General features: G+C 49.7%; 1 long non-coding RNA gene across 1 annotated transcript, besides 6 other annotated features; it reads right to left on the reverse strand.

Annotated features, from left to right (window-relative positions):
- Positions 168-237: a silencer, noted in NCBI's record as "silent region_20254". NCBI's record gives its function as "represses an Ori minimal core promoter by ATAC-STARR-seq in GM12878 lymphoblastoid cells {active_cell/tissue: GM12878}" and the evidence as "EXISTENCE:reporter gene assay evidence [ECO:0000049][PMID:35858748]".
- Positions 898-1,398: an enhancer, noted in NCBI's record as "H3K4me1 hESC enhancer chr9:126763235-126763735 (GRCh37/hg19 assembly coordinates)". NCBI's record gives its function as "activates a minimal SCP1, AML or CMV promoter by ChIP-STARR-seq in primed H9 embryonic stem cells {active_cell/tissue: H9 hESC(primed)}" and the evidence as "EXISTENCE:reporter gene assay evidence [ECO:0000049][PMID:30033119]".
- Positions 4,768-5,525: an enhancer, noted in NCBI's record as "OCT4-NANOG-H3K27ac hESC enhancer chr9:126767105-126767862 (GRCh37/hg19 assembly coordinates)". NCBI's record gives its function as "activates a minimal SCP1, AML or CMV promoter by ChIP-STARR-seq in naive H9 embryonic stem cells {active_cell/tissue: H9 hESC(naive)}" and the evidence as "EXISTENCE:reporter gene assay evidence [ECO:0000049][PMID:30033119]".
- LHX2-AS1 (LHX2 antisense RNA 1) lies at positions 6,219-9,338 on the reverse strand. Its single transcript, NR_135129.1, has 2 exons — positions 9,008-9,338; positions 6,219-8,033 (listed from the first exon to the last, which is right to left on the reverse strand). It is a non-coding gene; the product is annotated as an LHX2 antisense RNA 1 (long non-coding RNA).
- Positions 7,345-8,056: an enhancer, noted in NCBI's record as "H3K4me1 hESC enhancer chr9:126769682-126770393 (GRCh37/hg19 assembly coordinates)". NCBI's record gives its function as "activates a minimal SCP1, AML or CMV promoter by ChIP-STARR-seq in naive H9 embryonic stem cells {active_cell/tissue: H9 hESC(naive)}" and the evidence as "EXISTENCE:reporter gene assay evidence [ECO:0000049][PMID:30033119]".
- Positions 8,057-8,767: an enhancer, noted in NCBI's record as "H3K4me1 hESC enhancer chr9:126770394-126771104 (GRCh37/hg19 assembly coordinates)". NCBI's record gives its function as "activates a minimal SCP1, AML or CMV promoter by ChIP-STARR-seq in naive H9 embryonic stem cells {active_cell/tissue: H9 hESC(naive)}" and the evidence as "EXISTENCE:reporter gene assay evidence [ECO:0000049][PMID:30033119]".
- Positions 11,634-11,683: a silencer, noted in NCBI's record as "silent region_20255". NCBI's record gives its function as "represses an Ori minimal core promoter by ATAC-STARR-seq in GM12878 lymphoblastoid cells {active_cell/tissue: GM12878}" and the evidence as "EXISTENCE:reporter gene assay evidence [ECO:0000049][PMID:35858748]".

The raw sequence follows: 11,690 nt of genomic DNA on the forward strand, positions 1-11,690 counted from the left end.
GGCTCGGCCCGGCCCGCCCGAGGGCCCTGGGGCTGCCAACGGCCCCCTCACCCCCGCTGGGCACCGTGCCCGCGCCCCCAGCCCTCACCCTGCCGCTCCCCCCTAGCCCGGCACCCCCGCCCCCCGCCCCCCGGCCCTGGCCCGGGGCCGCCCGCAGAGCCGGCCACACCCGCTGCGGAGGACTCACCAAGGTAAGGAAGCGCCTCGGCGCGCCCCGGGGGCCTGGAGGGCTGCGCGTGGTGCGGGGAGGGCCACGGCAGGCACCCGCGGACCCGGACCGGGAACCGCCGCTGCCACTGAGCCGGGAGCACGGGAGGGCCCCGTCGGGCCGGGAGGGCTTTGGGCGAGTTGGGCTTGTCAAAGGGAGGACCTGGTGGCAAGTGGCTGGCAGTTGCCGCTCTGTCTGGAGCGTGGGGGAGTCTCACGCTCAGGTACAGAGATCTTCTGTCCAGATCTTTTTCTCTTTTAAGGAATTCTCTTCCTCTGTCACTATCCTCTCCGAATCCCTAAAATTTTATAGACATTATTTTCCAGTGTCTCTTTTGAGGAATCACCTCTTTGCCACCCTTCTTCTCAAGCAGGAGTCTTTTCCCATTCCTCTTCCCCAATTAAGCACATCCCCTCCCTCCTCCAATTTAGAAGGATTTTCTTCCTCTTTCTCACTCCCCAGTTTAAAAGGAAATTCTCTCTCCCCACAATTTGGAACCACCTTCTGTGGCTCACTTTCCCATTTCCAAGGCTAGACCCATTCCTATGCTGCCCTTCACCCCCATAATCCTGGCTGTGCAGATCAATTTGTCTTCAGCTGGAGGGATCTACCTTGTGTTTTTCTAGTGCAGGGGCCAGCTGTGGGGACTCCTCACCCAAAGCAGGGCACCAGCAATCCGTAGTAGCCCGCAGGAAAGGGGCAGCTGCCCAGCCGCAGCCCAGGTGCAAGGGGCATTTGTTTCCACGGGGCAAGCAAGGAAGACTTTACCCTGAAACAAAGAATTGAGACCAACCGAGACTGTCCCAGCCTCTTCGACGGCAGAGGAATCCCAGCTTCTGGACTGAGGGGCTACATCTATCCCCCTCCCCCACCTCTTTAACTTTAAAATAGTTTAATGAACACAGAGAGAGAAATCATTTTTTTTTTTCTGCGTGGTGAGCAGTCTACAAAGAGAAATGGGAAAGGAGGGAGAGAGCTTTAACTCTGATCCCCGCAATTAGTTCCCTGGGATTGTTGGTGTGTGTGTGGGGGGGGCAACCCGGGAGCCTCAGTTCTTCAGATACAAAAGCATTTAGATCGCTTTAGACCGGTTAATCCTGAGTCTGGCTCGGGTCTCTTTTGTTTCCCAACTCCATTGTGGGTTTTGTGCAGTTTCTCTCTGTTCGCGTGATTGACTAGCCAATAGATGGTAATTATCCAAATGTCCCCTCTGTCCTTTGACTGACTTCTCTGTATTATGGGCAACTGTCATGCATTCTGTCATTCCATATCATATTACACATATTATCATATGAAGTCTCCCCCCACCCTTTAAAGGAGGGAGCCTCAGCCCAGATGCTGCTGCTTTTAAAAGGAAGGGCCCCGAATAATTTGTGCGGGGCACGGTCGGGAATACAGAGCAGGGGACTCCCGAGATGGGAGGTTCTGCAGGTAATTTGTTTTGCTGGCTGGGGGTAGGGGGGGTAGGGGTGGTCTCTGAGGTTGGAGTTATAAGAACTGTGCTGGGGGCTTGGAGCACGCTTGTGCCAGCTTGTATTCCTCTGCCCAGGATCTTGGAGTAGTTTGGATGGATCTGGGATACCTTCTGGAGAAACTTGGAATCCATTTTTTGACCCCAGAATATCAGAAAAATCTGCAGGATCGGGTCCTTTGGGAGTAATTAGTTCTTAGCGACACATGCTCAAGACAACAACCCTTGGGATCCCAAAATATATCTCTTCTACCTGTGGCCCCTCACAGGATCAGTCCTTTGGACTCTTGCCCCGGTTTGCTGCCAAGCAGGCTGGGGATGGAGGAGCCAGCTGTGTCTGTTTCAAACCCCCACAAGCTGATGCTGAAGCTCTGAGAAGGGACAAGCTTTTCCAGTGATGCTTTTGCACAGATAAACTTAGTGCCCCTTGGTGCAATTGTGCTTGCCATCACTTAAGAGGGAGGCAGGATTTATAACAAGGAGACTTTGCAGGCAGAGACTCTGGGGTCCTCTGAATCTGTGGGCAGGACTAGCCTTTCTTTTGCTAAAATGTGAAAAAAGTGTTTTATTATTGCAATGGATATGAAGTGCCGCCCAGATGTACAGCCTCGCAGGCAGTTAATTACCTTGTTCTTCATCAAATATATGAGCAATAAATTCTCCAGGAAGGGAAATGTGTGTGTGTGTGTGTGTGTGTAGATAAATAGGTGGATAGATAGATAAATGCAGGAGAGAGAAAAACACACTCTTTTAAGACCACAGAAAGAGGCAGACTATTTTATGGGAAGCTTGATACACTGCTGCAAGATGCTTTGAATTTTTCAATGATCAAATATACATGATCAAGCTGTGCATGTTAGGGTGCGAGGTGCACCGACGGTCAATGGCTATTGATCAGGCTGTTAAGTATTTCTGTTCAGTTTTATAAATATAGATGGATCCCAGATGATTTAAACAACTAGATAGTTAAGAAACTAGCCTTCTACATTTCTTTGGAGAAGGGGAAATGGCTGGTCAGTTGCATAAACCCAAACCATTGTTCACCCCCATACTTCCTCCCTGCCCCCAAAATACCTTGGAAAATGTGAGGCTCATTTTCAAGAGTGTTCAAAAATAGAGTAAAAATATTCCAGATGTTTTGTTTGGGGTCTGCCAATAATAGTCACCTTACCTGAGCCTGGCCTTATTCACAGGCTGGGAGTTTTCTTCTCTCTCTTTCTCTCTCTCTCTCTCTCTCACACACACACACACACAATTTTGCAACCACAATTTTGATCCAGACTGCCAGAGAGATGGGGAGGGTGCCATTTCTAGGAGTGGGTCTAAGGTCCCTAAAACCCTTCTGGTTAGGAACCTGGTAAGCCAACCACATGACCCTTCCCAATGAACTAATTTCTCACTAGTCTAAAGATCTATTTAGAAAGGTGTGGAGGGGGTGAAGGATGGAGATTTAAAGGTAACCTCTAATTGGTCTGGAAAAATTAAGCTGATGACACCTTGAAAATCTCTCTGTTTCTTTTTCATTCTCTGTCTCTCCACCATCAAGAGATGACATCTTGAAAATCTCTGTTTCTTTTTCATTCTCTCTCTCTTTTCTATTTTTCTCTGATATTACCTTCTAGAAATTAAAAGTGGACTTGAAAGAAAAGGGCAATGAAAAACAGTGGGGGGAGGAGAGAAAGCGAACTTTTTATTTTTTTTTTTGTGGTGCGTAGCAATCTTAATTATAACCACCCAATTAGCTATTTTGTATTTTGTAAAAGGATTCAATAAATCAGCCTTCTCCCAGATCGGTAAAACTTAAGCATACAGACAATTGATAGTTATGTTTTGTTTCCACATCTTAAAAAAACAAAGTGAAGATTTTTGATTTTTCTATCTGCAGACCAGTCTTTACCAGCTAAGTGCCCCTCACCAGAGGAGCTGAGGCATCCCTATTGATAAAACCCCCTGGAAATTGAACCAAAATTGGCATCCCTCAAAAAAGTTGATCCACCTAGAAACGGATGAATCAGTCCTGATTGGGTGGACATGCCCTTTCACCTCATTGTGTCTGACCTATCACTTAATTAATCTCTCCCAGAGCAGAGCTGTTGACAATACCAAAGATAAGCAGTATTTTGAACAAAGCAGGAAGCTTTTAAAAGAACAAGCCACAGTGAGGTTTGAGGCTCTTAAAAATGTGTAAATCATCAGCATTAGGATGTAAGGTACCTTTATAACGTAGCTGAAGCTCAGAGATGATCCCACCTTTGCCAGAAACTTTCTGTGCCTTTCTTTAGCCATGGATGTCTTTAGACATTCATATTCTGCCTCTCCCCTCTGCTGCTGGTTCCCTTTCTCCTGTCTTTCCCTTTCTCTGGATTCATACTCTCCATGGCTACTTTCCTGAAAATTGTTCTCTGCTTTCCAGCCTTGCCTTTGGCTCTTCACATCCTTTTTTTAGTGTTAGGGCTGTCGAGGTAGTCAGCTTCTAAGGCTTTGGGGGACAAACTATCGACTGCATCTGCTGGTACCTATGAAGGAGGACATTTGTGCTGCAGGCACCTTGGTGACATACAGGGAATAGTTCATTAATTAAAAGACTTGCTAATTGCTGCTTGAATTACTGTACAGAAGGAATGAAATGAGTTTGTAAAAGATGACGATTTGGAGAATGCATTTTTTTTTGTTTAAAATATTTTTATAAACAGCTCCTAGAAAATGTGTTGCTTTTGCTGTTGACTCTATCGTCAACAATTCAACTGAGCTTCAATTAATGATAATATATGGTCTGGGATCCTTCGCTGGGCCCGACTGATGGAAGAGCTTTGTTGAATTTGGTGCAGGTGGCACTGTTTAATAAGCACAGGAAAGAGTGAATAATGTAGTGCTTGCAAAGAGAAGTAAATGCAAAATAGATCGCTCTAATTATGGCAGCCCCCAGAAATGGAGATGCAAGCTGAAATGGCCAAGTAGCTGGGAAATTCTAAATAGTGTCGATTGTCCCCTGCCTTTTTACTTTCGAGGGCTGACATGGTAGCTTAAAAGTAAATTTGGGTGAGCTCATCTCACTCAACACAAACAGAAATTCAAAACCTGAGTCTGATGACCTATCAATGTTTGCCTTCACTGTCTAGAATCCATTACCAGATAGTAAAACTCAGCACTAAAACAGGGCCATCTGAACATTTCTTCCTGCAAGAGATCGGCACAAGCTCTTTACAACTAGCATTTGTATTTTATTGCAAAGTGCCAGGAGATTTTGTTTTTGTTTTTGTTTTGTTTTGTTTGAATTTCTTTATGCTTGAGAAAATTAGCCTATAGGAAATCAAAGTGTGAATACTTAAGCAAACAGAATTTCTCATATACCTGCAAGGGCTTGTAGTGATTTTCATTCATGCAAAGATAATCAATGGGACATTAGTTGTTTTAATTAATGGAAGAATAAAAATGTTGGGGAGGGGTGCCAAGGGACTGGGCTTCAGCTGAAGCATGTGTGGGAAATGACTCATTCCTCACCTAAAGAGACAATGCCAACTTCCCAAAAGCAGGAGAGATTTGCTAATCAAACCAGTGGAAAGTTGGACTTGGGTGTGGGAGGGGTCCTGTTGAAAGTGTAGGGGGAGATATGGTGGTCACACTGGGCATTTTTCCTCCCCTGCAACCTCAGTGTTCCCCTTGGAAAACTAACACATCCTACATCATCTTCTAGGAGAGGAATTGTCTTACTTCCTAGGAAGTTGCACTTTGTGCTGGGAGCCTAGCATGCTTTGTGATGGTAAAATAGTGCCAGTGGCTGGGAAGCTCAAATCAACATTCTTTAGCCTGGACTAAAGAGAGGCTGGGGCTGAATGGGTGTGCTAGACATGGGGTGATCTGTAAAGCGTGGCTCCAGCAAGTGGGTAGAGACCCTCGTCCTCTGATTGAGAACCCAAGGAGGAGCCAAGTCCAGCATCTTTAGCTAAAAACTCCTTTTTTGTTATGTAGAAATGTTTACCAAACCCAACTCCAGTCAGTGCTGGCTGGGCACTCCAGTCGATTGGTGTTAGCGTATGGGAAGCTCATAAAAGCTTTATGGGGAAACCTGTGCTTAGAAATGGAGTTTAGAGGTGTCCTGCTGTCAGAGAAGGATGGCAGAGATGCCTTTGAATGAAGAAGGCTGTGATAGGAAAAATTTTTAGTCTCAAGTGCATGGAAATATGAGTTGTCAGACAGTCAAGGGTTCATCTGCTTCCTCCTCTTCCCCCGTCCCCACTTTTTCCATACAAAATCTTTTGGATTCTCCTCTAAGCAAAATGTGGTTTCCTATGTGAGGAAATTTGTTGCTAGTTTTTCTTGTGCTTCAACCTGAAAGGCTGGCAGAGCAACCAGGTTAGCAAAATGGCCCTACTAGTACTGGATATCATTCTGGGCTAGATTAAAAAGAAATGATTGTCAATAAATGACTGTAGTTATACCAGTTGGGGAAAAAATGGCATCTTTTTGCAACATTTACCTTTTTTGGTTTTGCTTCCAGGGAAATTTACATCATTGCATGGAAATTAGCCGTGAGGGGATGCAATTAGCTATAGTGTATTTTGTTATAATTGTTCTTTCAGAAAAATCTGATCTGACAGATTTATATTGTTGACAATGTGATTTAAGCAGGACCTAGATACATACTTTCTGCACCCTAATCAATAATGGTAAATCCTTTTGCTGAGGTGAACAATCTCTGACCTAGTATTCATATTTCTTTTACCAATTCCCTGTAATAAAATTGAACATTTTGTCACCACTTTGAGAAACACTGCCAAACACCTTAAAACACATGTCACATGCCAGCAGCCCCTCATTTCCCTCCTCCGGGAGTTTCTACATCTGGAATCATAATCACAGATAAAAACCTTGACAAAATTGCATCTGAGCACATTCCTCTCCGCAGCCTTTACTTTCTCATAACATTTAATACAATATTAATACCTGCTACTGAAAAGCAGGAGGGAGGAAAAGGGCTGCCAACCTCCACGTTTCCTGATGCATCATGTTCAAACCTGAAATTCACACTTCGTGTTTCATTTTAAGTTCAGTGCATTTAACAGGGCCCTAGAGAGAGAGCCCTGGTTAGTTCCCCAACCTGCTCAGCTGACGCCCAGGGAGGCGGTTTCAGAATTGTTCAGATCGCTGCAGGGAGAAGAGGAGGAGGAATTGGGCTTCTCTCTGCCTGCAACAGGCCAAGCCACTTATCTATTCTAATGTCACAGACACGGGGTTCCTCTTCGGAAACAACTAAGGCTCCACTAATTTTTATTGTCGATAGCGGTGATAAGCAGATTTTCTGTGTAGTGTGACCAAGGCAATGAGCTGATTTCGTAAAGAAAGAGATAGCTATGCCTGAACTGATTTACTGCTGACTGACAGCCTCTCGCATCAATATAAAACACTCCCTGCTTTGCTGAATGAGGCCCACAAGCCTGGGAAAGGTGTGTGTGTGTGGGTCCTCATTGAAGATACAGAGCTTTTCTGCTCTCCCTGTGACTCAGCCTCACCCCACCCTTTCTTGGAGATAACCCTAACCCTGCATTCCTGTGCAGTGGCAAGGAATCACCCTTCCTCTGCCTTACAAACAGGAGACAGAGGTTAGAGAGAAGGGGAAAGTGCAGGAAGCATATCCCACTGGGGGTTTCCTGGGGGCATGCATGCTACTCTGGAGATGGACTTTTGCATGTTGGTGGCTTTGTTCAGTCCCTGCCACTCTAACCAGAATTGGGATTGTGACAGTCCAGGAGTGTCCCCTCCCTTTACAAAATGTAAACCTCCAGGATTCTGGAAGGTTTAAATTGGTAACATCTCTAACAGCAGCCTCAGTGCAGAGGGGACACACACACACACACACACACACACACACTTCCCTGAGCATTCCCACTTTGGTAAGGAAGGAGTATAATTTGCTGAATGGTGCAAGCAAGCCAGGAGGACAGAAGATGTTACACTTTACTCAGGGAACAGAGGCGGGCAACTGGCCCTGTGACTGCAGCCAACAGCTTTAAGAACACAGTCCTTTCTGCTTCAAGGTTAGGGAGACGTTCTCGCCTCTTTCTTCTTTGCAGTTATTATTCAAGAGGCTTCCCCCGACCCCAGTCCCCAGCACCATCCTCAGAGCTTCAGACCATACATTGACAGTGAGCAAAGGGGGCCCCAGGCAGGCGGGTCTGGGGCCAAGGAGGGCGGCTCCCCTGCGCGGATCCTTCCCTGGTGGCTCCCAAATCCGGCGTTTTCTCTGCCGCCTCTCCCTCGGGGGAGACTCGGAAAGGCTGCAAAAATCTGGGCGCCCGTTCGCTCGCTTGTCAAGAAGCAAACTGTCTTCACATTCTCCAAGAGCAACATCCCTGCCTAGGAAGAGGAAGGAAGAGGCAAAATAAATAAAACCAGTTAATGTTGTAGTTAACTTGCAAATCAAGTAAATCTGTTGGTGCCGTATTTGAGAAATAAACCATCACAGCGTCACAGCAAACACACACTTCTGAACGTCTTCATTTTGATTTAATGGTATATCAGCGTCAACTATCGCTTCCTCTGCTGGTACACACGGCCTGATGCCGCGGGAGGAGGGTGCCCATGTTTATCACCGAGTGAGATGACTAATTACACCTTGTCAATCACCGGCTATGAAGACATAAAACCAGCGCGCACAATGAAGTAGTTGCCTGCAGCGTCAATTAGTTGGCGATTCTGAGGTTATTGCGTGGCCCTGCTTTGGCCGCCTCTAATAACGGGACAGAGCGCCGGGCACCGCGCACTGATCAATCACCCTCCTTCCGCGGCCGCCCGGCTCCCTCCCCTCTCCCCCGCCGGGTCTGGCCTCACTTTCTCCGGGCGGCTTGCGCTTCCTCCCTCCGCGGCCCCGGCTCCGTGGCGCCGGCAGCCCCGGGAGCCCCGGGAAGTTTGCGCGCGGCAGCTCCGCAGCCGGCAGCCGGGAGCCCCGCAGCCTTCGGGGAGCGCCGGGGCTGGTGGCCCCTTTGTTGGAGGAGGCGTGGAGGGAGCGCTTTTGTTCTGAGTTAGTCACGGTGGCCGGCTGGAGGCTGCTACCTCATTATGCGCCGGGTCTGCTTGTCTGCGAGGAAGCAGATGGTGGGGAGGTAGGCAGCGGCGAGAGTGGCCAGACCTGAATTCCGTTCACCTGTCACCTCCCACAAAAGGCAGGTTCGGGGGACTTAGGCATTCGTTGCCACTTTCTGGGGGAGGGGGAGGTCGAGGGGCCGCCGTTTCCGGCGCCTGCGAAGGTTCCGTACCTGTCGGTGCCCGCTCCCCCCACCCCTTGCCTTTCCCTTGGCTGCAGCTTCTCGCACCGCGTAAATGTCACTCACGTGTCAGGATGTGTGTTTACAGCCTGTTCCTCTGCTTGTTTAGTCTCGGCGGACAGGGCTCAGCGGTTGCGCGACGTTCCCCGCCGCTGGGGGAGATTAGCAAAGTTACCCGCCTCTGGACCCCGGGGCCTGGGCCCCTAGATCCCGCCCCGCGGCGGGAGATGCGTTTGAGCCTTTTACAGACGGAGCGCGTCCCAGCCTGACGCAGAGGGATGAATAGACAAGCGCACCGGGCGGGAATCCCGACTGCCTGTGTATCTGGGGTCGGCCCAGCGTTGGACGTGGGCTGCTGGTCCGAGAGGTGGCGACGGAATCGCGTGCCTATATGTATGGGGGAGTGGAAAGTCGCAGGGTGTGTTTCCACGTTTCTTGAGCAGCCCGCGGCAAGAGTTGCTGAGTACCCCACCCCCCGCCCCCAGATCCTAAGGCAGCCCCTCGAGCTTTCCAAACGTATTGTATCCAGCCCTCCCGAGAGTGGAGTTGCACCAAGGACAAACACTCTAGCGTCATTACAAATTTTTTCTGCCCCTTGGGCGACCTCCAGATGAACCCTGGTGACTCTCAGATTGGATTTTCATTCCTTACTTTCTTTGAAAGAAAGTGCCCCAGATGCGTCAATAAAACATGCCTATGTATTCGTGTAGGCGTCCGCATGCCTGCGCGCCGGCCGTGTGCAGGCGCCGAAGCACACGTCTGTGTGAACACACGGGCACGCGCGTCTTTGGGTTTAGTGGTCCTTCCCTCGCGTTGGGGCATCTGTACACATGCAGAATATACACATATGATTGTAACTTCAAGTTTTTTCAATTATGCAAAACGACCTCGTAGGAGCACTTGCAGTGATTTAAGTAGAATCGCCTGAGCACGCAAGTGCAGGTATAACGTGCAATTTACCATTTTGCAGTTGCATCCTTCTTCCCAGCTCTAGACACTTACACCTGATGCGCATGTGTAAGACCCTAGCTCTTCAGTGGTGCTGGCTGTGATTTTGCCAACAGAGATAAAATTCGTGCTGGCTGTGTTATTGCCAACAGAGATGAACATGTGTATTTGCACACATGAACACAAGTTCATGTGCTTGGGCATTACACGCATACATATATTTGTGCACACATATATTTGTGTGTGAAAGTTACTTACACACGTGAAAAACATGATTTCATGCCTCAACTCTGTACCCTGTGAGGTAAACCGCAGGTCCTGACTATCCCCTTACCTGTCCTGGCAAACAAGTCATTTCAGACTGACACCCGCCTTGTCCCTATTAGACGGAGCCAAACCTGCCTCCGAAGCAGACCCAGATGGGACTCTGTAACCGAAGTGCTTATTCAGTTTTTGTCTACAATCATTTTATTTCCTAAATCCCTCCCCCACCAGACACCTGGGTATTTCCCTCCAGTCCCCAGGAGACTCTAGGGTGAGCCTGAAACCTGGAGGCTGGGGGTAGCAGTTGGGATTTACCCAGCACGCTACTTTGTTGGCCCCTGGGGAGGTGGTGCAGCCAGGCGGGTAAGGAGGACTCGCGCCATCAGCGGGGTCTGAGACATGGTGTGCCCAGTGGGCAGAGAATAGGCCTGTGGTTTTTAAGAACCTCACTGATATCGAATGTGTCTTGGAGTGAGAAAGTTTTTAATGGAAAAGGAGCAAGAGAGAGTAATGAAATAATTTGCTAAGTGCCTACTATGTTCCAGGCATTTTACATCCACAGTCTCTTTCAATCAACACGTCCATGCGGAGGAGAGCTTCTTGTCGCCCATTATAAAGGTCAGAAACAGGCTAAGGGAGGATAAGTCACTGCCTAAGGTTACAGTGCATGTAAATGGCAGAGCTAGGATTCGAACCCTGGCCTTTCTGAGTTCCTAAAGCCATGCTCGCCCCCACTCTTCCAGGCTGGGGAGAGACCGGGAAGAGCGAGAAGCTACACGCTGGGCTGCAGATTGGGCCCTAGCGGGCTTGGAGCGTGGATATGCTGGCTGGCCCCCCTCCCCGGGAGTCACAGCTCTCGCCGGTCTCGCCACTCAGGCTCTGCCGGGTACCCAGGAGGCTTGCACGGCCGCCTGCAGCCCGCTGTGCAGAGCCCGGGCCGAAGGCGGAGCTCGATGGGAAACGGCCGGCCGAAGGCTCTTGCAACTCTGCCACAGGCCTGCCTTCCCGGGCCTCCCAGGCGGGTGCCTGAGGCCGCGGCTCCAGGCCGAGGGGAGACCGCAGTGAGACGAGCATCCCCTTGCTGCGCCTTCTTAGGATAGAGGGTTTAATTTTCCTTTCTGAAGATATCGCAGGAAGCTGTTCGTATCTTAAAAACTCCAAACCCCGCGCTCTCCCTCCTCCCTGCCTCCCCCCCACCCCCGCCCTCCAGCCTCGCCCACCAGCTCCCACCATCTCGACTCTCCTCTGCTCCTCTTGCCTCTCCCCTCCCTCTTGGGTCTCCCGCCTTCCCGGAGCACGCGCTGCCAGGGCCTGGGGCGCCGAGCGGCCAATGGCACGGCGGCAGGACGTGATGTCAGGCGCGGCTGTAGAAAAGGCGCGGAGGCTTGCGCTGGCGCGGACTGCAGAGCCGGGGCTGGGCTAGGCGCGCGCTTGGAGAGCATTGCGCGCGGCTGGGCCCGCGGCCGGCGGCTCCTCCTCCCACTCTGCTCCTCCTCTTTTTTCTCCTCCTCCACCTCCTCCTCCGCCTCCTCCTCCT

Source organism: Homo sapiens, chromosome 9 (genome assembly GCF_000001405.40).
Source record: "Homo sapiens chromosome 9, GRCh38.p14 Primary Assembly".
In the NCBI taxonomy this organism is placed as follows: Eukaryota; Metazoa; Chordata; class Mammalia; order Primates; family Hominidae; genus Homo; species Homo sapiens.